Source organism: Homo sapiens, chromosome 2 (assembly GCF_000001405.40).
Source record: "Homo sapiens chromosome 2, GRCh38.p14 Primary Assembly".
Lineage (NCBI taxonomy): Eukaryota > Metazoa > Chordata > Mammalia > Primates > Hominidae > Homo > Homo sapiens.
The window spans coordinates 119593678-119620511 of NC_000002.12; the positions used below are offsets into that span (position 1 = coordinate 119593678).

General features: G+C 43.2%; 1 protein-coding gene across 13 annotated transcripts in view; it reads left to right on the forward strand.

Annotated features, from left to right (window-relative positions):
• Positions 1–26834, forward strand: part of CFAP221 (cilia and flagella associated protein 221) — a 115875-nt gene that overhangs the window by 49229 nt on the left and 39812 nt on the right. For 10 of the 13 annotated variants that reach the window (XR_922883.4, NR_073133.2, XM_006712353.4 and 7 more), the window contains 7 exons: positions 7541–7700; positions 10995–11115; positions 11199–11310; positions 11504–11612; positions 14825–14912; positions 17976–18065; positions 21934–22032. Coding sequence is in view for 10 of the 13 variants with exons in the window: in XM_006712353.4 (XP_006712416.1) it covers positions 7541–7700; positions 10995–11115; positions 11199–11310; positions 11504–11612; positions 14825–14912; positions 17976–18065; positions 21934–22032 (779 nt within the window). In the remaining 3 variants the exon portion in view is untranslated. Of the gene's footprint in view, positions 1–7540; positions 7701–8648; positions 9086–10994; positions 11116–11198; positions 11311–11503; positions 11613–14824; positions 14913–17975; positions 18066–21933; positions 22033–26834 lie in introns of those variants that run through there. The other 3 variants (NR_073132.2, XM_047443619.1, XM_017003559.2) reach the window with 3 other exon arrangements.

Below are 26834 nucleotides of genomic sequence, written 5' to 3' on the forward strand. Positions count from 1 at the left end.
AAATACAAAAAATTAGCCAGGCGTAGTGACGGGCGCCTATAGTCCCAGCTACCGGGAGGCTGAGGCAGGAGAATGGCGTGAACCTGGGAGGCGGAGCTTGCAGTGAGCTGAGATGGCACCACTGCACTCCTGCCTGGGCAACAGAGCGAGACTCAGTCTCAAAAAAAAAACAAAACGAAACAACAACAACAAAAAAAACCCCACCAGCTCTCATGTGAACTCAGTGCAAGAACTCACTCATCAGTAAGAGATGGTGCTCAGCCATTCATAAGGCATCCACCCACATGACCCAACACCTTCCACCAGGCCCCACCTCCAACAGTGGGAACCACATTTCAACATGAGATTTGCAGGGGACAAACATCCAAACCATAGCATACAGTTCCTTTTCTTTTTCCATGTGTCTCCTGAGCTCCACCAGTTCTCTTTTCGTCTCCTTTGAGTGTGTTCTTACATTGCTTTCTTGAATTCTGGTGACTATTCCTGTGATGAGGCATACTGTCTGTTTTCTTTAAGACTCTGATGAACTACTTGTGTCCTGAGGTTGTCCTCTTTTTCATGTGTATTTTTTTTTTTTGAAACAGAGTCTTGCTCTGTTGCCAGGCTGGAGTGCAGTGGCATGATCTTGGCTCACTGCAACCTCTGCCTCCCAGGTTCAAGCGATCCTCCTGCCTCAGCCCCCTGAGTAGCTGAGACCACAGGTGTGCACCAACACGCCCGGCTAATTTTTTTTTGTTATTGTATATTTAGTAGAGATGGGGTTTCACCATATTGTTCAGGCTGGTCTTGAACTTCTGACCTCATGATCCACCCTCGTCAGCCTCCCAAAGTGCTGGGATTACAGGTGTGAGCCACTGCACCCAGTCATCATGTGTATTCTTTATGTGATTTTCTTTCTGTTCCTCTCCTCCTTCAAAAAGTATTAATTTTTAGTTTTGCAGTTTATATGCACAGCACCTGTGGTGTTCTATTCAGCACTCTACTCAATGTTGAATACAGTCTGCCACCAGCAAAAGAATAATGTGGAAGAAGGGATAATAATTTGAATAGCTAATGCTTACATCGTGCTTACCATGTGCCAGACACTACACTGGATGCATAAACTCATTTAATACCCCAGCAACTCTTATGAAGTAGATTCCATTATTCTGTCCACTTTGCTGATGAGGAAGCTGAGGCATGGAGTGTTATGTAGGTTGCATGAGGGCACAAAGTTGGGAAGCAGCAGAGCTGGGGTTGCAATGCAGAGAACCCAGCCCCACAGTCTGTGTATTCAAGCCCTCTGAGAGAACATCTCCCATCTCTGCTCAGTGGTCACAAGGGCTGGTGGCTCCCAGGAGAGTCACCTGTCCTGTGTGCTGCTGTACAGTGGTCACGACTCTCCTCCCTCCCTACCAGGTCACTTTCAGCGCCTTCTGAACTGGGTCCAAGGTCACAGACAGTGGGCATGGTGTGGCAGCCTAGCTGCTTCTTCAGCCCCCTCCCCTGCTGGTCTGTGATGCTGGGGTTTGGTCTCTTTTATCTCTGTCCCTGCTCAAGGCCCAGGCAGACTCCTACATTTTGTCACTTTAACCAAAGAGTAGTTAGAGACTTTTCCAGGGCTGTGACTCTTACTTTAGGAGAAATCTGCACCTCTTGGTTCTCGGCATGCTCCCATGTCTCAGTTTACAGGACTTGGTAGTCAGGCTTTTTGTTTGTGCTTTAGGATTATAGCCACTTCCCTATTTAATAGATTTTTTTTCCTTACCATTTTTACCCTTCTTTTCCTTATTGTTTTGTGATTTTTGAAGAAGGGTAGTTGAGCTGAAGCTTTACTTCACTATCTTTTGCCAGAAATGCTCTGCGCTTGGTTTCTGCCGGGCTCACCTCCTCCCTGTGGTCTTACATACTTCATCTGTCCATTCATTCCATAAGTAACTACTGAGCGCCTGCTGGGCATCAGACACTGGTATAGGCATTGGGTACTGCAGAGAGCAAGACAGACCTGGTCCCTGCTGTGTTGGAGCAGAGATGCCAGTCGGGGGAGACAGGCAGGCCTGCAAACAAAAGACATTGTCCAGAGCAAAAATGGTGGTGAGAAAAATAAGACATGGTGATGTGACCAGGTGACTGCTCTCAACTTGGTGGTCGAGAAGAGCTTCTTGGAGGAAAAGTCATGTCAGCTTAGACCCAGTTAACAAAAAGGCACCAGACTTGGGAAGAGGGTTTCAAGCAGAGGAAGCAACCCACACAGGGCTGCAAGGCTGGAACAGGCTCGGCAATGGTCACATTCAAGGGAAAGACGAGAGCCCATTGTGGCCAGGGTGTGTGAGCAAGGGGAGCAGTGTGCAAGGCCTATTGGAGAGGCCTGCAGGGGTTCGAGGAGGGTGGGTATTAGGATTGGGTTCTGAGTGGGATGGGAGTCTACTGGAGAGTTTGAAGCAGAGGGTGACATGGCCTGATGCATATTTTAAAAAGTCTCTTTGGCTCCTGAGGGGAATGCAGGTTGGAGTAGCACAAGGTGGGCACAGGCCTCCCCCTCAGGAAGGAGCTGAGGTTGGCTCGGATGGGTGGTGACCTTGGAGATGGTGAGGGACAGATGATGGAGTGAATGGGCTCCAGCAGTGGGTGGCTAGGGGGTGCGCTGCACTTCCTGCAGCTCCTAGAGCAGGCTCTGAAGCCCCTCCAGTCGCCCTGCCCTCCATGGGTGCTGTCTCCGCGATGTTAGGCACCAATGCCTGTGTGCTGCACACATTGCTCCTGGCCAGCAGCTTATATACTTGATGGAAAAGGAATTCCTGGCCTGGGATCCTCCCCAGCATCCTCTACTCAGACTCCTTCTCCACATCCCCCCATCAGTACAGGCACAGCCCTCAGGTTGTCTGGTGTTGCAGCTGAGGTCTGCATTTTGGATATTTGATGAACAGGGATGAAACAGAAAGTTAGTAGATTCCAAAAGACTTAATTTTACCACTTATTTCGAGTTCCAGTCAAAAAAGCTTGCGGGAGGGAGAAAGGAATAAAAGATTAAAATAAGTACTAGGGATTGTTAGCGTCTCAGTATGCACACCACACGTGTCTTCATCTGCTATGGCTGAGCAGGGGTTGTTCTTCCTGGGAAATTTAGACATGAACAGTATCCAAAAGCCCTCAGGGCTTCTCTTTCACCTCTTCATGATAATGTCCAGGCCTGTGTTTTAAAATAGACCTTGTAGAGGCCACTGAGTCCTTGTCTTCTGAGCTGTGGATCGCCTGCACTTGGCACTTTTGTGGAGCAAAAGGAAGACCTAGTGCTTTGGGACGCTCATCCCAGTGATTTGGCATCATGAGGCAATTGCCTCTTCCTGTGTAAGAACTCAAGCGGGTCAAGTGTAAGTTTTTCAAAGAAATATTTCTTCTTTCTGATATTTTAAAGACAATTTAATACACAATAAATTGTTTCTTGTTTTATTTAGCATAAGGATTGAGAAGGCCACATTTATAGGACACACACTATGTACCAAGCACTATCCCAGACCCTGTACATTATTTTCTCCTTTAAGCCTTGTCTCATTTTACAGATGAGAAAACTGAGCCTCAGCTAAGGTAGCCAAGCGGAGTTACACAATTCATGTATAATCAAGCAAGGTCTAAGTCAGGGTCTGTGTGGTCCTGGGGCCTCTCTGTTGCCCACACTCCCTGGGCAGCAGCAGAGGCTGGGGAGTGTTGCCACTGTGAGTGGGATGGTAGCCCTCCTTTCTATAATCCAGTGAATCGAAAGCATTGCTAGAATGTGGATGATTTTAAAGCTAAATAGCTATTAATTTCCCAACATTAGCTTTGAGAGATCGAGTTGTTTACCCAAAGTCACCAAGCTAGAGGAACCCTAAATCTTGGAATATTAAAACCAATACTTAGAATGTTACCAGTAGAGGGTGTCCAGGTTCTTGGCGTTTTGAACAAGGAATTGGACAAAATACACAAAGCAAGGAAATAATGAGCCAAGAAAAGCAGAAATTTACCGAAAAACGAAAGCGTACTCCACAGGGTGGGAGCCGGTGAGCATAGGGCCTCAAGAGCTCTGTTATAGAATTTTCTGGGGTTTAAATACCCTCTAGAGGTTTCCCATTGGTTACTTGATGTACACCCTATGTAAATGAAGGAGTGACCCCCAATCAGAGGCTGAAGTTACAAACTTAGACTCCTATGCTTTGGTTGCTTTCTGCAATCAATCAGAGATACTTTCAATTTTCCATCTAACGCACAGAAAATGTGGGGGTTTTACAAAGGGAGTAGCCTCCAGTCCTTCTGTTGCTTAGGTGTGGAGAGTTGGGGTTTTCTTTCTGATTTAGTTCTAGGAGGTCAGCGTGAATCGGCCTTAGGTTCCTTGTCTCCAGACTCTTTTCTGCCTCAATAACACCTTAAGTATGTGGCTCGAATGGCTCTATGACAATTTAGGGAGAGTGATCTGTACTTTTTGAGATCTTTGAAGAAAAAATTATTTTAAAATTAAATAATTTTACAGTGTTAGTACAATGTTGTAGTAACACTGTCTGGACATGGGAAAGAAGAAATTTTTTTTAATGTTCCCCATCCTGGGCCTCACTGCCATAACAAGTAATGTGCTTTTGTTTTTCTGTCTCCTTTTAATAACTTTTCATACTTTTGCACATGCTTTATATAATTGTAGTCCAAGTGAAGACACAGTGGTATTTCCTCATGACTTCATTTATTTCACTATATTATTTTTCAGTGCTGTTACTTTTTCTTTATGATACCCATCGTATTGATAAACTAGGGTGTTCTTAGCCTTCAGTTGATTTCTGAGTTTTTTCCTCTTCTCTTTGTCTCTGCTCACCACCCTCCATGTCCTGTGATTCCACATTACCCCTGGTTATGTTAAGGGTGGTGATCTGAAATTGACCAGATGAAATTGGCCTGGAGCATAAGAGAGCAATTTGGGGTGGGGGTTGCCCTTCTCACTTTAAAAGCATGAAACATACTCTCCTTTGTGCCACTGTTAGTTTTGGCTGAGCAGTAAGCTGTAACTCCTTGGCACGCCTTTTACAGCTGCTAACATTTGACGATCTGCTGCTCCCTGTGTTAACTGGCATCCCTGTTAATGGAAAAAGCAGTGTACTCTGGTTGCCTAGACTACACCTTCACAGTGTGCTTTATGTATTAGGTCTGAGCTGGCAGCACTTAAAAATAAATCAGCCGGGTCAAGGCAAACATTAATCCTTGCTTCCAGAGCTTGTCTTTATTTTTTTAAGTTAATGAGCTAGAGCAGAAGCAATAGAATGCTTTTATTTTAGAGCCCCGGGTCAATTTATGGGTTAAAGGGGGCTATTTTCTGACCAAGTGGGTGGTCAAAGTATTGAAGCCCCACACATGATGGAGAGTCACAGTTTCTATCCAGCTGGTCTTAGGTTGGCTGATGGACCCAAGGTCTTTTGCTGATTCCCTCCTCCCTGCAGTGGATTCTAAGGTCACTAGTGGGTATCATTGAAAGAGTTTGACTTCTGCTCTCAGGAAATTGACGAAGACCTATTTCTAAAGCACTGTGCTGGGGATCCAGGAAGATATAAAAGGTATGGGGCTGGTGTCTGCCTTATGAGCTTGATACCTAGTTGGGAGACAGGGAAATTTTGAAAGGTAACACATCAAGGGAACGCGAGTTCAGTAGGGCTGACTGAAGGTTCCTGTGGAGGGAGAGGCATAGGGAGTTTGGTGTAATATATAGGTTGATATAGGCTTTTAAGTTTGGGTTCATTCACTCATTCAACAAGAATTTATTGTGCTGGGAATGCAGTAATGAGCAGGTGCCTGCTTTCCTAAAATTTACACTCTAACTAGGAGAAGGCAGATGGTAAATGCAATAATTTCCGGGAGTAGGATGAAGCTAAAAGAAAATCTGGAGAGAGTTCTTCAGGCCTAGGGAATTGCAAGTGCTGAGCCAGTGCACAGTGCAGAGCCAGCAGGAGCCAATGAAAAGGGATTAGAGCCAAGGCCCTTTCGTTCTCATACTCCTGCTCCCACCTCTCCTCACAAGGGGGGCCTTTCCTTTCCACCCACTTGCTTCCCCCTGCCTGTTGGTATTCATGTCTTGACTTTGTATTTTATGTTCATTTGTTTATTTATTTATGTTTTGCTGTCCCCCACTAGAATGTAAACTGTGAGATCTGGGATTTGTTTTGTTTATTGCTCTAACTTTAGTGCCTAAAACAGTGCCTGGCACACTTATTAAGTGCTTATTAAGTAAGCACTTAATAAGCACATGAATGGGTGAAGGAAAGGCCCATGTGGTTGGGCGCAGGGAGAAGGGAGGGTAGCACAAGATTCAGGAAGTGAATGGATGCAAAGGAGGGCATGTTTGGGGGGACTGTGCGAGGCCTCTGCAGGGACAGTGGGAGGACCAGATGCACAAGGGCAGACGGTCTCATCTAGAAAGCAAACCTAAGAGCCTTCAGTGGAAGTCAGAACATTCGTCCTCCAGTTTACATTCTAGTTGGGGACAGCAATAAGTAAATAAATAAATAACATTGATCCTCCCTTTCTTCGCTTTTTCTCTCCACATTTGTTAGCACTTACTATGTTCCAAGCCCTGTTGGCACCAGAGATACAAAAGAGGAATTAGGCACAGTGTGATATTTGACTCTGGGGAGAATAACAGTCCATCCTAAAGATTTGAAAAGAAAGAATCAAATTATACAAAGAAAGAACTGAATTATTTGAACACAAACTTGTATGTGCGTTCCTAGCTTTTCCTGTTGCTTACAGCATTAATATTGACATCTGGTAATTTGCTTACAGATGATAGTTCTGGGAATTCATGTCTGAATCGCTAATGCAGATTGATGTGTATATATTTGTAGAAGTGACACAATCAAATAATTATTGTAAAGGATTAATATAGTAATTAATAAATAAGATCAATGTAAACATGCAGAAGTTGATTCACATGTATTTAATGAAAAAGCTACATAAGGATAATAGAAAGACTGTGTTTGTGCTTAGCATGGGAAGAATGTACAGTTGACCCTTGAACAGCATGGATTTGAATTTCATGAGCCCACTTATATTCAGATTTTTTTCAGTAAAAGTTAAACCGACTGTGCCTGCCTCTTCTTCCACCTCTTCCACCTCTTCTGCCTCTACCACCCTTGAGACAGCAAGATCAATCCCTCCTCTTCCTCCTCCTCAGCCTATTCAACACGAAGACAAAGAGAATGAAGACCTTTGTGATGATCCACTTCCACTTAATGAATAACAAATATATTTTCTCTTCCTTATCATTTCCATAATGACATTTTCTTTTATCTGGTTTATAGTAAATAATACATATAACATATACAATATGTGTTAATTGACTGTTTATGTTATCTTTAAGGCTTCTGGTCAACTGTAGGCTATTAAGTTTTTGGGAAGCCAAAAGTTATGTGTGGATTTTCAATTGTGTGGGGAGTCAGTGCCCCTAATCTCCACATTGTCAGAGGGTCAGCCATATTTGTGTGTGTGTCAGCATGTGACTGGACTTGGCAAGAAGAGAGGGTATCACATTTTCTCATTTCTTTCCTCTCAGGAATAATTCCGGCTAATGGGAAGATGACTGTGACTATTAAGTTTACACCCTTTCAGTATGGGACTGCACAAATAAAAATGCAGTTATGGATTTCGCAGTTCAACTCTCAACCATACGAATGTGTCTTCACCGGAACATGCTATCCCAACATGGCCTTACCGTATGGCGTCTTTGCAGTGTTTTTGTTTATTTTTAACCCTTTTTTGAAAATCCAAGTCTTCCTTTCTTCCATTCTGTCTTTCTTGTAAAAGAATGTCATCAAAAACTTATTTAAAATGATGAGCCAACATAAGATATACTGTAAAACATAACAGAAATATAGAATATATCTATGCTAGTAGCAAGAGTTGCTTCTGACAAGAAGGGAAGAAACAAGAAAAAGGGATTTTTGAAGGACATGTTTTTTCACTGATCACTACTGGTGCACTGTTGGAATTTTTTTACCATATGCATGTCTTATTGCCTAGTCGAAAATTTAAACAATAGGGCCAGAACAACATAACTGTTTTTAAGGTTTCCATATAGCATTTTAATTAATTGAGTCCCTGCTGTTTGCAGTGCCCATTGCAAAGCTCAGTGGGAAATGGCCCACAACCTCAAGAGACCAAAATAAGTCATATAACAAGTGATTTCACATGAGGCAGTGACAGAAATGTCTGAAAAACAGAAATGTTTGAAAAACACGGGAGGTTTTCAAAGCACCATCAGACTTCAAGTCAGAGTAAAGATGTGAAATGGGATTAAGTTGTGCTTCATAACAAATCCTTTCTGAACTTCCATTTCCATTTGAATATGAGCTTGTACTTTTACATGTCAGTACCTCTGGTTAACATCATGATTTTTTTCTTATACCCAAGATTTTTATATAAACGTTAAAAGTTGCTGGGTATGGTGACTCGCGCCTATAATCCCAGCACTTTGGGAGGCTGAGACGGGTGGATCACCTGAGGTCAGGCTTTCAAGACCAGCCTGGCCAACAGGGTGAAACCCTGTCTCTACTAAAAATACAAAAATTACCTTGACGTGGCATCCTGTCTGTAATCCCAGCTACTTGGGAGGCTGAAGCAGAATCGCTTGAACCTGGGAGGCAGAGGTTGCAGTGAGCCGAGATCACGCCACGGCACTCCAGCCTGGGTGCCAGAGCGAGACATCATCTCAAACAAACAAACAAACAAAAAAGTTGTCACAGTATAAATACCAATCTTAGAAGATTCTGACAATTATTTTGAAAATGATAGGGAAATATCTTGGTTTTCCTCTTCTTTGCGCATGGATACACATCACATATTCACATCATTAAGCATATTACAAGTGGAGTAGCAACCTTATATCAAAATATGAACTCACTCCATGATATCTTAGATATTTATATCATGATTTTTCTTCCTAAAAATTCAAAGCAGCCTAAGTCAACTGTAGGATATTAGTGTGGCCTGCTGAACCCAAATCCTGCAAATAACCATCATTGAAATCACTCGGGCAACAAACAAGTAGAACTGAACACAAATTTTAAAACTGCTGATTTTTCTGGTGGCAAATAAGCAGGTGAGCAAAATGGTGTTTGCCACTTCACATCAGGTGCTACAATACTCAAATGACTTTCTTAAAGACATAACATGAGTGCGATTTTTATTTGTATATCCTTCCATGGCTGTGCTTTTACATGCACGACAGCATTGTATGACAGAAGCACCATACAAATGCAGGTGTACGCTATTTCTAAATTATTATGTTAGTATCTTATCTGGTATACTCTTGACATTGTCAAGGACTATGTCTTAAGATCTGCATGTCTCTCCAAAACTGCAAATAATATTATAACATATAAATTCTATCATGAAGGGAAAAAAACTAGCTGTAGTTTCTGAACAGGAAAAAATACTGGCTGTAGTGCTCTCTGAAATTTTCATAGATTGCTTTCTTCATTTCATTATAGGGTGTGTGATAGACTTACTCATGTCTAAATTTGGCCCTGCCAAATTCCACATGTAACTGATTTATCATTTTCTTAGACCTCTTCATTTCCGTCATCGACGTTGAGGATATTGTTTAGGAGGCTGCTTTTTAATGCCCCCAGGTTTAGTTGCTCCCCAATATTTAACAGCAGAGGTGGTGTCAAGGCTCCACTGAGACAGGGATGCTGAACCTCAGTTCGCTACCTGGCTAAACACCTCACCCTTCACATCAGAGCATGTCGGTGGGTGGGAGTCTCACCAAGGGACACGTTCTCCCATGCCCTGGGTTGTAAGGATGCTCTTACATGAGAGACATTAAATTTGAGGTTGCTAACATAAGTTCCATACAATGCAACCAGGCCTGTTCAGTGGGTGGTCAGCAAATACATATTAACTGTCAGAGTGAGTGAATGTTCACCTATTTTTATCTTATTTTTGTACTGTCATGGAAAACAAATGTTTATCCTATAAAACAATTGTCCACACATCGTTGCTTAAAGAAATGCTTCCCCTAAGCTATTATGCCAAATTGGTACTGAACAAATAAATTTTAAAATGGTTATTTTCAAAATCGTAACTTTGCCTTGTGTTGCAGAAAAATATAACTATTTAGATAAAAATAATTTCTAAAAAAAGAAAAAAGAAATGCTTCAAAGGTAGCATTTCTGAATAGAACACAGTTCTACTGCATCTCATAACAGATAACCTGAATAGCTTCTGCGGGCTATTAGCTGCACTACCTCTAACTACCATGTCCAAAGTCAGTTTCTAATTACAGAAAAGATCCCAAACATTAGTCTGAGTCTCTTTTTGAAACATCTTGCTACAAACAATTGGCATAATCATTCTTTTACTAGGAAGATAAATCAAGGTAAGATTTTTTTAAATGTAATAAATCTAGCTATTGAAAACCAACAGGCTAGAAATTGATTATGCTAGACCTTGAGAGCATTTTTCAGCATGTCATGTTTTCAGTCAGTATGTTCTTTAAGAATGTAAAGCAATGTAATCCCAGCACTTTGGGAGGCAGAGGCTGGTGGATCACAAGGTCAAGAGATCGAGACCATCCTGGCCAACATGGTGAAACCCCGTCTCTACTAAAAATACAAAAATTAGCTGGGTGTAGTGGTGCACGCATGTAGTCCCAGGTATGCGGGAGGCTGAGGCAGGAGAATCACTTGAACCCGGGAGGCAGAGGTTGCAGTGAGTCATGATCATGCCACTGCATTCCAGCCTGGTGACAGAGTGAGACTCCATCTCAAAAAAAAAGAATGTAAGGCAAAAAAAAACCGTTGGTGGGCAATTTTGATATCGCTGATTATACTCTAATGCACTGACATCACATTTATTTTAGTAGACCACTGTTGGGGCACACATTTATTTTCAGTTTAGGTATAATAAGGGACTTCAAGTTGTGGTGTTATCAGAAGGAACATAAAACATTAGGAACCTTGAGTTAATGGCTTATTTACTAATTTAACACTTGTTTTAACCTATAGATTAGAAGAGTTTGAAAGGTTGAATACCCTTTCTAAGAAAGTAAACGTTCCTCCAGAAAAAGCAATGATGCATATAAATTTTCACCGACCGCCAGCGAAGCCGAAGCCTCAGAAGGTGAAGGTACGGTGGGCCTTGTCCTTGGTGCGATGAAAGGGTGACAGAGGGGCAGACTAACTGATTTCCCTATTGATTTGGTCTCTTAGGAAATTGAGTACCAGAACCTCAGATTTCCAGTAGATTTATCGAATCCATTTGCTGTGGCAACTGTTTTAAACCAAGAACCAGGAAAATTGAAGATTAAAGAATTAAGAGAAGGTAACCAGTTGATTGGCCATAAAGCAGCCCCTGAGCAGAATATGAAAGAGTCATTGCTGGTCACACTGATTACCTATGAACAACAAAATTCAGTTAGATTGCTGTTATGCCTCGCCATTAGAAATGTGTTTTTCTCTCCGCACATGATTTTAATCTGATTACTGGTATAAACATTGTCTGCTCCTGCCTTCAGTTTTGGACCAGGGCACTGAAATTTCAAAAACGAGACAGATGAAGGAGGCACTCTTTGAACAGAAAGTCAGACAGGACATTCACGAAGAGATGGAAAATCATCTTAAGTGGTAAATATTGAGCAATTGTTTGTATCAAGTGTCAGTACAGTTATTTTTAGGTGATGATCTTTTATAAATGAGAGACAGTAAAATGTAATAACCTTTTAGGTACTTTGGAGAATTTAATGATTGTTTCACTGCCAGTGGTCCTTCAGTAGGAAGTTTCTATTAGGAATAAATATATGTGACCAAACCACACTGTTTGCTAAGTGTGACCAGTGGCAGGACCAGAGTGAATTGTGGGAGATGCTCCCTGCTGCTGCTGGCACCCCCTCACCCCCGGACAGATCTGGGTGCCTTGGGCACCCCCAATCTCACCCCCATCATCCTCCACCTCACCAGGAGCCCCTGTGCCTTGGGCTGTGTGCCCCAGAGGCCTTCTGGGTAGCCCAGTGGGGTGAGGCTCTGGGGGGCTCCTAATGGAGGTTTTAAAACTGAGATGTGAGAATTCTTGTGCTTCTGTGCCCAAATTAGAAACTTTTTCACAATTTTTTTTTTACCAGATCAGACCAAGCATATGCATGTGTACAGATTTAGCTGAAAAGTAAACTCTTTTTTTTGAGAAAGGGTGTCACTCTGTCACCCCAGCTGGAGTGGTCACATAAAAAAGATATGGTCACATAAAAAAGTGCATATAAATGTTCATAGCAGCATTATTCATAATAGCCAAAAAGTGGAAACTACTGAAATGTCTAGTAACTGATAAATGAACAAGCAAAATGTTGCATATCCAGTGTTATGGATATGCAACATTTGCATATTTCAATGTTGCATATTTCAGTGTCACATCATGGCCGGCTGCACCCCCAGCCTCCCAGCCTAAAGTGATCCTCCCTCTTCAGCCTCCCAAGTAGCTGGGAGCACAGGTGCGTGCCACCATGCCCAGCAAATTTTTTTTTTTTTTAGAGATGGGGTCTCACTATGTTGCCCAGGTGGGACCCAAACCCCTGGGCTCAAGTATTCTCCTGCTTGACCTCCCAAAGTGCTGAGATTACAGGTACGAGTCCCCATGCCTGAGCTAAAGTAAACTGGGCTGAAAAAGAGACTCTTGGAGAGTGTCATTGAGAGGCTGCCTACTCCATGACCCAGCCTCCACCCTTCCCGACACATGAGAACACGCCCTCACCTGAAGCCCTCTGAAGGTGCCCACCGGGCTGCTCCCCTGTCTCTGGGGAATGGCCCTTGTTTCCATCAGAAATCCCTTCTGTCTCAGCTTAAGTCTATAGTTATGGTCCCGCCTCAGTTAACGGGAAGTACTCCAAGGAACTGAAAATTTTATGTTTATAAACACCTTTTCCCTATTATGAAAAACAGGTAGGTCATCATTGTAGGAAACCTGAAAACATGTTTTTTTACATATAGAGAAGGAAAAAAAATCACGGTGATGCCCCCAGTCAGCAGTGACCAGTGACCACTGTCAGTGCTGGTGTTTTTGTTCTTTCTATGCATCTCTGTATCAGACTTGAAGTCACATCCCAAATCCCATTCTGAATGCTGTGTTGTTCCTTTAATATTTTTCCCAACTTTTTATGTTGAAAGATCTTAAACTGACATACACTTGACCTCGGTTCACTAATTGTTGACATTATGACACATACACTTCCCCTCACTCCACACACATGCACACACACACCTGCATGCACCTTTTTCCCCTGAGCCATTTACAGATAAATTGCAAATATCAGGAAGCTTCACCCCAAAATACTTCAGTATGTAGCTCCTAAGAACAAAGACATTCTCCAACATTATTATAATCACTTCCAAGAGATTTCACACTGATAGAATAATATTATCTAATAATCAGTCTTATGGGCAAATTTAGCCAGTTGTCCCAAAATGTACTGTATACCTAGTCTTTTTAAAAGTATTTATTTTAAATTTTATAAAAATGAAATAGAGACAGGGTTTTGCCACATTGCCCAGGCTGGTCTCGAACTCCTGACCTCAAGCAATCCACTAGCCCTGGCCTCCAAAGTGCTGGGATTACAAGTGTGAGTCCCCACACCCGGCCCATACCTGGTTTGTTTTTGTTTTGTTTTTGAAGAGAGGTGTCTGGGGTCCAGTCAAAGATCATACCATTTGTATTTAGCTTGCATGTCCCTTTAGTCTCCTCTAACCTAAAACAGTTCTCTAGAACATCCTTCCACCTCCACTTTAAAAATCATAACTATTATTTATTTAAGATATGTGCTGGGTTTCGTGATGAATACATTGCATATTAGTTTCTTTAAATTGTGATAAAATTCATCATTTTAACCAGTTTAAAGTATATTGTGCAGAGGTTTTTAGTAAATCCACAATGTTGCATGACCATCACCACTACCCAATTCCAGAACATAGGCATCACTAGAAAAAGAAACCTCATACCCATTATCAATCACTCCCCACTCCCCACCCCCTGGAGCCCCTGGCAACCACAATCTACTTTCAGTCTCTATGGATTTGCCCACTCTGGACATTTCATATAAAGGGAATCACAGAATACATAGTCTTTTGTGACTGGCCTCTTCCACTTAACATGTTTTTAAGATTCATCCACATCATAACATGTGTTAGTACTGCATTCCTTTTTATGGCTGAATAATCTCATTGAATGGATATGCAACATTTTGCTTGTTCATTCATCAGTTACTGGACATTTCAGTAGTTTCCACTTTTTGACTATTATGAATAATGCTGCTATGAACATTTATATGCACTTTTTTATGTGACCATATCTTTTCAGTTCTCTTAGGTACATACCTAGGCGTGGAACTGCTAGGTCATATGGTAACTCTATGTTTAACTTTTTGTGGTGCCACCAAACTGTTTTCCATGGTGGCCAAACCATTTTACATTCCCACTAGCAACATATGAGGGTTTCTCCACTTGCTCAGCAATACCCGTTATTTTCCATTATTATCATCATCATCATAGCCATCCCAGTGGGTGTAAAGGGGTATATTTTTGTGGCTTTGATTTGTATTTCCCTAATGATTTAGAAGGTTGAGCATCCAGATGTTGTTATTCATAACTATTTAAGATAAGCTTAACTTTGTAGAACACATTATTCATCTTAGTTATGTTGCTGAAGCCTCTATAACTAACTTCTCTATCCCATGTGTCTCCTCCAGCATCTCAGGGTTCCTTTTCAGTTTTGGAATATAGTGAAATATTCCATCCTAAAGTTGACTCTGGTATTCTGATGGGTTCTGGACACAGTTTTTTTTTTTTCTCCCCAGGCAGGTGCACCTTGGTAAAGATCCTATGTCTTTTAAACTTAAAAAAGAGCTTACTGAAGAGTGGCAAAAAGCATGTGCCAAATATAAGGTCAGAGTTACTGCTAATTTGCTATCATTTGTTTCGCTAGATGTTTTTAAATTCCTACTATATGCAAGATGCCAGGTGGAGGAAAACCCACAGTTAAGTTGGGAGTGGGAAAGGCTGACGACAAGTAAATTGTCAACCATAAATCAAGACTGGCTATAAATGTCACCAGAGACCTATACTAAGTTTTGTGGGGATTCAGAAGCCAGAGAGGAGAGAGAATTCATCTGATTGGAATGCTTCCTGGAAGACATTGTATAATTTTTTGAAAAGTAGCAAAGAGGACAAAGGCATTCACATGGAGGGAATGGCTCAAATTCGAGCTGGAATTTTGAGTTGGGGTCCCCTGTCCCATGATCTACAGAGCATGAAGACAAAAGAGACCCAAAGTTGGTAACCAGGACCCACATCAGAGACAGATGCAAATGATAGTCCCAAGTCAGAGACCCTCAAAGGGGCTGAGCAGAAAAAGGGAAAGTGGGCTGAGGGGAGTGGGACCACACCTGGGGTGCCAAGATAGCCCCTGTAGGTTCAGGGATGGGAACTGTGGGACTGTCCAGCACCCATGGCCTCACCATGCTTTGAAGATGGTTGTTACCTACACACAGGTGCAGAGAACACTGAGGACAAGTCCACAGTGGCTAAAACACAGGATACACATGGGCCAGAGGAGACAGGAGTCTGCTGGGGCTCTGTGTCTGAATTTAATTGGTAGGACTTGCAGAATGATCACATATTATATTAATTGGCTCAGACTGCCATAACAAAGTACCACAGGCTGGGTGGCTTAAAACAGCAGAAATTTATTTTCTCATAGTTCTGGAGGCTGGAAGTCCAAAATCAAGTTCTCAGCATGGTTGATTCCTTCTGAGAGCCATGAGTGAAGGATCCATTCCAGACCTCTCTCCTTGGCTTATTGGTGGCCACCTTCTCCTCATATCTTCATGTGGTCTTCCTCTGTGTCTGTGTCCTAATCTCCTCTGATATAAGGGCACCAGTCATATTGGATTAAGACCGACTCTCACAGCCTCATTTTAACTTGGTCACTTCTTTAAAGACTCCATTTCTAAATACCATCACATGCTGAGTTCTAGGGGTTAAGGCTTCAATACAGGAATTTCGAAGGGACACAATTCAACCCATAACACAGATTTTTGAGCTGGGTAATGTGAGGTTCAGGTAGACTGACTTGGCAGCAGTGGATGGGTGGGATTGGGGAAAAACATTTCTTGTCAGATATGAATATGTTTCTCATAGAGAATGTACTTTTCTTTCCAGATTTGGAGTCCAACTAGATATTTAAATAAATTTGTCTTATTTTTCTTCATTTTTCATAAGACAAAAGAATATAAAATCATTACATTGGTAAATCTTTGCATTTAGGAAAAGCACATATTAGATGTGCATTTAAATTTAGTTCCACATGTTCAGATTCTTTGCATGCTTTCTTAAAAACAAAACATCAAGTATTGTCTGTCAACCCAACAGTGGAATGCTGTTTTCTAACCTTTTTAAAGGTGAAGTTGGCACAGACATGCCCAGATCAGTCATTGTGGGCATTGAGGCTGTGGCTGCGGGCAGTGACAGCCAAGGAGCAGTCCCATCCTTAGCATGGCTCCTGGGGCAAGGAGGATGAGCAGGCAGCCCAGACGCCCTGGAATATGGGAGATCAAACGTCTCAGGGACCCCATTCTGTGTGTCCAGGGGATTTTATCTGAGAGCTGAGTCCTGGCAGGTGACCCAGTGGCACGGAACTCCTGGAGGCCCCAGGCATGTGGTGGAAACAAAGAGGAGAAATGGTGGGGGAAGGAAGGAGATGGCCTGAGAGTGAGATGGCACAGCCCTCAAGGATGATGAGCTTTTACTCATCATCAAGTCAGCAGTGTCTTAATAAAGATATAATAAATCTCCCTTGCCATTATTCTAGCTAGTGATCTATTTGCCAGTCCCTTCTTTATATTGCCTATTTTATTTTACTCCTAATGCTGGTGGGGGTCTGGGTCTCCCCACGAAATCTGTACTTTGAACTTAATGTGTTCAGTCTCAAACTCAACTTCCCAATATGTGCCAATCAGAGCTAGGCAGCTCACCACCCTGGTGACAATAACACACCTCTCTTATTTCTGATTAGGGTGTTAATGTGATGATCAGAATAGATTTATTCCAAATAAGTCTTTTAAAATTTTTATAAACAGTATACTTAAGAGCCAAGCTGGTTTTTGAAGTTACCCAACAAACAATTAATAGAACACACAGATAGGCAAAAACTAACACCATCTGCGGAGTACGCAGTCCCCTTTCCCACCTGGGCAGACACATATAGACACTGAACCCAGCCCAGCCAGCCTACCCCAGGAGTCACTGTTGGCTCCTGGGAATAAGAAAAAGGGCCCAGGCGTCATCAGGGAAGCAGGCAGGTGAAGGAAGGAGAGCAGTCTGGGGTCACTCACCTCCGGGGAACCGCAGGTTGCTTTCCAGCCCAGGAAGACCTGTCAGCTTCCACCACCCAGGAGAAGGAAGGAATCCCCACATGCCTTCCTTAAAACCTGACACCTGGATAATCGACTCTGAGGAGCTTAAAACTTTACAGGGATGTTAAATGTCTTTTTAATGAAATTTGTATAGTCCCATAGTTACAGTTTCCTAAAATTCTTTCTATGAATGTTAAGTGTCTTGGAAATAATTTCCAAAGACACTATCTTTTAGTTATAAAAAGAAGGTATCTACTTGGGAGGCTGAGGCAGGAGAATGGCGTGAACCCGGGAGGCGGAGCTTGCAGTGAGCCGAGATTGTGCCACTGCACTCCAGCCTGGGTGACAGAGCGAGACAACGTCAAAAAAAAAAAAAAAAAAAAGGAGGTATCGAATCTGTGCTTCGATAAGAGCTCCCTATGTTTAAACAGTGTAATCATACTGATCTTTTTTACCCACTTGTGTTTCACCACTTCCAATGGGAACGTCGTGGGTGGATTTGGCCAATTGCTTAATGGGTTTCTACAAGTTTTAAAGACAAATTGTTTTACGCATTTATATTCAACTTAAATTATTTTGATGATTAAAAACCCAGCTAGACAGAGGAGATCCTATTTTGGATGAGGAATTTCAGCGACTTAAAACAGAAGTTAGCCATAAACGGGTTGTTCGCAATCAAGAAGAGGTGGGTAACTTTCCTTTATTTAGAATCTGATTATTGGCAGCTCTTTAAATGCTTATTTTTTTGAATGCTAAACAATTTTATAGAAATCCTTTACCAAGAGATATTTAATACTTTTTAATTTGCATACATTTTCAGAATGTTACCATGTTTTTGCAAGTAAAGCATCAAAACTTGTAATTCATGTTTCTCTTGAAATGAACAGCACTACATACTTTGGCCACTCCTTTTCATCCCACTACTTTCTCATTTTAGGTCTCCTTTTTTGTTTTCCTTCATTCTCCAAGCCCCTGTCCACAGGTCCTCAAGGTGGGTCCCTTGGCCTCTATTCATTATCCTCCTTCCCTTGGTAGAAAGGATACAAAGTCAGAAGTCAGAAGCCAGAGTCCTAGTTACAACTCTATGACAGATTTGGGACCTTGGCAAGCCTCTTGGCTGTGGTGCCTTACTGTTCTCAAATCTAAAATGAGTACTGTGGCCCCATCCACCTGATTATCTCTGTCTTGTAATATTAGTTCATTGTCACACTGCTATGAAGAAATACCCAAGGCTTGGTAATTTATAAAGGAAAAAGGTTTAATTGACTCATAGTTCTGAATGGCTGGAGAAGCCTCAGGAAACGTACAATCATGGCAGAAGAAGAAGCAAATACTTCCTTCTTTACATGGTGGCAGGAATGAGAAGAATGAAAACCAAGCCAAGGGGGAAGCTCCTTATAAAACCATCAGATCTTTTGAAAACTAAGTCGCTATCATGAGAACAGGATGGGGGAAACTGCCCCCATGATTCAGTTATCTCTACCTGGTCACTCCCATGACATGGGGATTATGGGAACTACAATTCAAGATGAGATTTAGATGGGGACATGGCCAAACCATATCATTCTGCCTCTGGCCCCTCCCAAGTCTCATGTCCTCACAATTTAAAACACAATCATGCCCTTCTATGAGGGTCATGTCTTGAATTATGGAAACTACAATTCAAGACGGGATTTGGGTGGGAACACAGCCAAACCATATCATTCCACCACTGGTCCTCCAAATCTCATGTCCTCACAATTTAAAACACAATCATGCCCTTCCAACAGTCCTCCAAAGCCTTAACTTATTCCAGCATTAACTCAAAAGTCTCAGTCCAAAGTCCTATCTGAGACAGGGCAAGTCCCTTCCACCTATGAGCCTGTAAAATCAAAAGCAAGTTAGTTACTTCCTAGATACAATGGGGGTACAGGCATTGGGTAAATATACCCATTCCAAATGGGAGAAATTGGCCAAAACAAAGGGGCTACAAGGCCCCATGCAAGTCAGAAATTCAATAGGGCAGTCATTAAACCTTAAAGATCCAAAATTATCTCCTTTGACTCCATGTCTCACATCCACGTCATGCTGATGCAAGGGATGGGCTCCCATAGCCTTGGACTGCTTTGCTCCTGTGGCTTTGCAGGGTACAGCCTCCCTCCCAGCTGCTTTCACAGACTGGCATTGAGTGTCTGTGGGTTTTCCAGGTGCACAGTGCAAGCTGTCAGTGGATCTACCATTCTGGGGTCTGGAGGATGGTGGCCCTCTTCTTACAGCTCCAGTAGGCAGTGCCCCAGTGGGGATTCCGTGTGGGGGCTCCAACCCTACATTTCCCTTTGTACTGCTCTAGCAGAGGTTCTACATGAGGGCTCTACTCCTGCAACAAACTTCTGCCTGCACATCCAGGTGTTTCCATACATCCTCTGAAATCCAGACAGAGTTTCCCAAACCTAATTTCTGGACTTCTGTGCACCTACAGGCTCAACACCATGTGGAAGCTGCCAAGGTTTGGGGCTTTCACCCTCTGCAGCCATGGCCTGAGCTGTACCTTGGCCCCTTTTAGTTATGGCTGGGACACAGGGCACTGAATCCCAAGACTGCATAAAGCAGCAAGGCCCTGGGCCCAGCCCACAAAACCATTTTTCCCTCCTAGGTCTCCAGACCTGTGATGGGAGGGGCTGCCATGAAGACCTCTGACATGTCCTGGAGACATTTTCCCCATTGTCTTAGTGATTAACATTTGGCACCTCATTACTTATGTAAATTTCTGCAGCTGGCTTGAATTTCTTCTCAGAAAATGGATTTTTCTTTTCTATTACATCATCATGCTGCTAATTTTCCAAACTTTTATGCTCTGCTTCCCTTTTCAGCATAAGTTCAATTCCAAACCATATCTTCGTGAATACATAAAACTGAATGCTTTTGACAGCACCCAAGTCACCTCTTGAACACTCTGCTGTTTAGAAATTACTTCTGCCAGATACCTAAATCATCTCTCTCAAGTTCAAAGTTCCACAGATCTCTAGGGCAGGGGCAAAATGCCCCCAGTCTCTTTGCTAAAACAAAGAAAGAGTCACCTTCATTCCAGTTCCCAACAAGTTCCTCATCTCCACCTGAGACCACCTCAGCCTGGACTTCATTGTCCATATTACAATCAGCATTTTGGGCAAAGCCATTCAACAAGTCTCTAGGAAGCTCCAAACTTTCCCACATTTTCCTTCTTCTGATCCCTGCAAACTGTTCCAATCTCTGCTTGTTACCCAGTTCCAAAGTTGCTTCCACATTTTTGAGTATTTTTATAGTAGCACCCCACTCCTGGTACCAATTTAGTGTATTAATTAGTTTTCACTCTGCTATGAAGAAATACCTGAGGCTGGGTAATTTATAAAGGAAAGAGGTTTAATTGACTCACAGTTCCACATGGCTGGGGAGGCCTCAGGAAACTTACAGTCATAGCAGAAGGAGACACAAACACATCCTTCTTCTCATGGCTGCAGAAGCAAGAAGAATGAGAACCAAGTGAAGGGAGAAGCCCCTTACAAAAACCATCAGATCTCTTGAGAACTAACTCACTATCACGAGAACAGGATGGGGAAAACTGCCCTCACGATTCAATTATCTCTATCTGGTCCCTCCCACAACACCTGGGGATAATGAGAACTACAATTCAAGATGAGATTTGGGTGGGGACACAGCCAAACCATATCACTGGTTAAAAGTCCAACTTTTAATTTCAACGATGATAAAATTCTAATCTCCCACCTCCATCATTCTCACTTTTCTTTGCTAGGTTTGCCATATCTGAATTATTTTTACCACATTTCTCCCTGCCCTCCTCCTCACTAGATTTATTCTGGCCACAAAGTCTTGCCAATGGCGCTTCCATGGGCCATATCAGAGTCCAACCTTTGGGTGTCCCCGATGACTAATCCAACAGGTTTTTCTGTCTGTATAACTGATCTTCTTCCCTCTCCTCTGCAGCTCATGGCATAAGCCAAAGTAAGACTGATTCCCTTCTGCTGTCTCTTTTTATATAATTTCCTTATTCAAGAACCTACAGTGCCTCAGGCTCTGGCCAGCCTCACTATACCCGCAGACACTCTTTCCTCCTTATTCATTTACTAACTTAGATACACTGGTGCCCAGGACATGCAGGCACATGTGGGACAATACATGTGTCAGCGCTGGGCATGCAGGGCTGAGTAAAGTAGTCCTACCCAGCCAGGGGATCTCACAGCCCATGCCTTTCAATTCTGGATGCACTGTCAGCACCACCACATGGGATTGGTGACTTTATTCTTCCTCAAAGTCACATGTGTTTGCTTGAGCTTTCCTAACTAGACTATAAGTTTCTTAAAACCCTAATCTTGTCCTCCACTTTTGGCCCCCAACTCAAGAAGTGTTCCTTATAATGCTGTGTACACTAAAAGTGCTTAATAAATAAATGCTCACTAAGCAATACAACAAATAAATAACAACTTGATTTGGGATCAAACTCTAAAATGTTTTTATTAGATGTTTATGACAGGAGTTAAAATTTAAATGTAAGATGTGCCTATATTTTATATTCACAGAAAATCAAGGAATTTCATCCTACTTTTGATCCACTCATTAATAACACTTGGCTCAGCAGGTCCAGGGCACAAAAACGGTTTCAACAAGTAGCACGCAAGGTAAGTCTCAGCACCAGCTGGAAATGTTGATTTGTTTACTCATCAGCATAAGGAAATCAAGCAATGGTGGTTTGATAACACCTTTATTGAGATACAATTTACACACCATAAAATTCACCCTTGTAAAATGTACATCAGTCATTTTTAGTATATTTATAGAGCTGGGCAGCCATCACCCCTATCTAATTTTAGAACATTTTTATCACCTCAAAAGGAAACTTGGTGCCATTTTCAGTCACTCTCCACTCCCTCCTCCCCACAGCCCCTGGCAACCAATAATCTACTCTCTGTCTCTACGGATTTGCCTTTTCTGGGCATTTCATATAAATGGAATCATACAATATGCAGCCTTTTAAAAAATCAATTTATAAATTTATAATTGACACATAATAGTTGTACATATTTGTGGGGCACAGTGTAATGTTTCAATGCATGTATACATTATATAAGAATCAAATCAAGATAATTACCATATCCATCACTTTAAACATTCAATACATGGCTTTTGGTAACTGCTTCTTTCATATAACTTATTTCCTAGGCTTGTACATATTTTAGCATGTATCAATACTTCATTCTTTTTATGGCTGAATAATATTCCATTGTATGGATAGACCACATTTTCTTTACCCATTCATCAGTTGATGAAAGTTTCAGTTGTTTTCACCTTTTGGCTATTATGAGTAAAAATGGGATATTGATCAGTTACTTCTAGGGAGAACAATTGAGAATGTCTGAGGGATCGTACCTCTAGCATCCAGGCTTAATGCATGCCTTTCAGAGTTGCCATCTCCCTTCTGTGGCTTCCTCACCCTCATGCTGGTCCTCCAGTGGCTTCCTGTTATCAGGATAAAACGAAGACTTCTGAGCCTCATATGCCAGTAAAGGGTGTCATGTGACCCCTGGTCTGGCCGCAGCCACACCCCTCTAGCAGCCACTGTCCTCTCGTTGTCCCAGTCTGGTCTGCCACACACATCGTACTCATTCCCTGCTACTACCCCTGTGAATCTGCTCTCAGCTCTGACTATAGTGCCTCCCCAGCTCTGCTCCATGGGACTGCACCTGTCCTTTGGGCCAGCCTGAGTCCACTTTTCCTACAAGAGGCCGTCCTTGTGCACTTTAGTATTTAGGGATCTCCTCGGTGCCATGTGCTTCTTGTGCTGCCTGTAAATCTCTCATCTCTGTCACTTGTGTGTGACTTCCCTGGTGGGCAGGGCCACACTTGAAGCCAGGGAGAGCAGTGGATAAAGCCTGGGCTGTGGAGCAGACTGCCTGCACTAATTCCTGGTGCTGCTTCCTTGCACTTTCTGATCCTGGACAAGTTATATAACCACTGTGCCTTAGTTTCCTCACCTGAACACTGAGGACAATAATGAGACCTGTCTCAAAGTGTTGTTGTGAGGATCAAATGAATGAATATATATAAGGGACTTCAAATGTTGTGTTACAGCTTGTCTTCCAGGCAGTCTTCTCAGCCTGGACTTGTGGCAGTCTAGGTAGAGGAAGGCAGAGATCACTGCCTTGGGGACCTACTCACCAGCTTCCAAGGCCCCATGACCCTCACCTATTTACCAGCCTCCAAGGCCCAAGAGCCAGTGTCCCTGGTAAGGCTTTCCCTGGGTGGTCTCTGCATATGTGCAAACAGAGTCCACCATGACATGCTCAGGGCAGGGAGCACAGTGGTAAGAAGAGGCAGCACAAAGCTGTGCTCCCAGGGAGGAAAGCACAGCCATTGACAATAGAAAAACAACAGCAAGAGACTGGCCAGGCTGGCTTGTTGCTAATGGGACCACCTTGGTCCTTCTGCACTGAGCCTTCCAGCCTGAAAAAGGGTATCAGCAATGATGGGCTTTGTTCTGAGTAATGGCTCAGACAGTTCCAAAGCAAGCCCTGTCAGTTCTATGTGCCAATGTGTCGCCAGCCAATTCTTTGCCTAATCTCCTCAACTACAGCCACAGACCAGGCTCCCAGCATCTCTTGCCTGGACCATGGCCACAGGTTCCCCTACATCCAGTGCCATATGGCAGCCAGAGTTGTGTTTGCAAAACTAAAAGGTGACAGTGTCTCTCCCCTGCTGAAACCCTCCGAAGATGTTCTGTAACAGTTGAAATAAAATACACAATTTTTATCAAGGCTACCAGGTCACATCGGATTTCTCTGTCCTTTAAACATGTCTCCTTTGTTCCGGCATCAGGACCTCTGCACTGGCTACCTCCTCTGCTCAGAGCTCTCTTGCAAACATCTTTCCATTGTTGTCCTCTCACCATTCAAGCCTTGCATCACATCTCACCTCTGCAGAGGCCTTCCCTCATTATCCTTGCATAAGTGGGCAGGCATCCCACCTCCAGCCCCTCCAGTCATGGCCTCAGGCATTATCCTCTTATTTTCTTCAGGGTATTTATCTTGGTTTTTTCTCTTGGTATTTATTGTCATCCCACTTTGCCTCCTATACACACGTGGAATATCAGCTCCTTGTGGGCAGGACATTTATTTGCTCCTTACTGTATCTCCAGTGCCTTGCACAGGACAGGGCACTGAGTAGCCACTTTATAATATTTGTTAAATAAAAGAGCCATTTGGGCTGGCAATATGGCTGAATAGGAACAGCTCCTGTCTGCAGCTCCCAGTGAGACCAATGCAGAAGGCAGGTGATTTCTGCATTTCCAACTGAGATACTTGGCCCATCTCACTGGGACTGTTTAGACAGTGGGTACAGCCCATGGAGGGTGAGCCGAAGCAGGGTGGAGCATCACCTCACCCAGGAAATGCAAGGGGTTGGGGAACTCCCTCCCCTAGCCAAGGGAAGCCATGAGGGACTGTGCCATGAGGAACAGTGCACTCCAGCCCAGATACTACACTTTTCCCATGGTCTTCACAACCCGCAGACCAGGAGATTCCTTCGGGTGCCTACACCACCAGAGCTCTAGGTTTCAATCACAAAACTGGGTGGCCATTTGGGCAGACACCAAGCCAGCTGCAGAAGTTTTTTTCATACCCCAGTGGTGCCTAGAATGCCAGTGAGACAGAACCACTCACTCCCCTGGAAAGGGGACTGAAGCCAGGGAGCCAAGTCATCTAGCTCGGCGAATCCCACCCCCATGGAGCCCAGCAAGCTAAGATCCATTGGCTTGAAATTCTCGCTGCCAGCACAGCAGTCTGAAGTCCACCTGGGACACTTGAGCTTGGTGGGGGGAGGGGCGTCTGCCATTACTGAGGCTTGAGTAGGCGATTTTCCCCTCACAGTGTAAACAAAGCCACCAGCAAGTTCAAAATGGGCAGAGCCCACTGTAGCTCGGCAAAACCACGGTAGCCAGACTGCCTCTCTAGATTCCTCCTCTCTGGGCAGGGCATCTCTGAAAGAAAGGCAGCAGCCCCAGTCAGGGCCTTACAGATAAGACTCCCATCTCCCTGGGACAGAGCACCTGGGGAAAGGGGCAGCTTTGGTGCAGCTTCAGCAGACTTAAACATTCCTGCCTGCTGGCTCTGAAGAGAGCAGCAAATCTCCCAGCACAGTGCTCAAGCTCTGCTAAGGGACAGACTGCCTCCTCAAGTGGGTCTCTGATCCCTGTGCCTCCTGACTGGGAGACACCTCCCAGCAGGGGTCTACAAATACCTCATACGGGAGAGCTCCAGCTGGCATCTGGTGGGTGCCCCTCTGGGATGAAGCTTCCAGAGGAAGAAACAGGCAGCAATCTTTGCTGTTCTGCAGCCTCTGCTGGTGATACCCAGGCAAATAGGGTCTGGAGTAGACCTCCAGCAAACTCCAGCAGACCTGCAGCAGAGGGGCCTGACTGTTAGAAGGAAAACTAACAAACAGAAAGGAATAGCATCAACATCAACAAGAAGGATGTCCAAACAATAACCCCATCCGAAGGTCACCAACATCCAAGACCAAAGGTAGATAAATCCACGAAGATGAGGAAAAACCAGTGCAAAAAGGCTGAAAATTCCAAAAACCAGAATACCTCCTCTCCTCCAAAGGATCACAATTCCTCGACAGCAAGGGAACAAAACTGGATGGAGAATGAGTTTGACAAATTGACAGAATTAGGCCTCAGAAGGTGGGTAATAACAAACTCCTCCAAGCTAAAGGAGCATGTACCAACCCAATGAAAGAAAGCTAAGAACCTTGAAAAAAGGTTAGAGGAATTGCTAATTAGAATAACCAGTTTAGAGAAGAACATAAATAACCTGATAGAGCTGAAAAACACAGCACGAGAACTTCATGAAGAATACACAAGTATCAAGAGCCAAATCGATCAAGTGGAAGAAAGGATATCAGAGATTGAAGATCAACTTGATGAAATAAAGCGTGAAGACAAGATTAGAGAAAAAAGAATGAAAAGGAATGAACAAAGCCCCCAAGAAATGTGGGACTATATGAAAAGACCAAACCTACGTTTGACTGGTGTACCTAAAAGTGATGGGGAGAATGGAACCAAGTTGGAAAACACTCTTCAGGATATTATCCAGGAGAACTTCCCCAACCTAGCAAGACAGGCCAATATTCAAATTCAGGAAATACAGAGAACACCACAAAGATACTCCTCGAGAAGAGCAACCCCAAGACACATAATCATCAGATTCACCAAGGTTGAAATGAAGGAAAAAATGTTAAGGGTAGCCAGAGAGAAAGGTCATGTTACCCACAAAGGGAAGCCCATCAGACCAACAGCGGACCTCTCTGCAGAAACCCTACAAGACCGAAGAGAGTGGGGGCCAATATTCAACATTCTCACAGAAAAGCATTTTCAACCCACAATTTCATATCCAGCCAAACTAAGCTTCATAAGTGAAGGAGA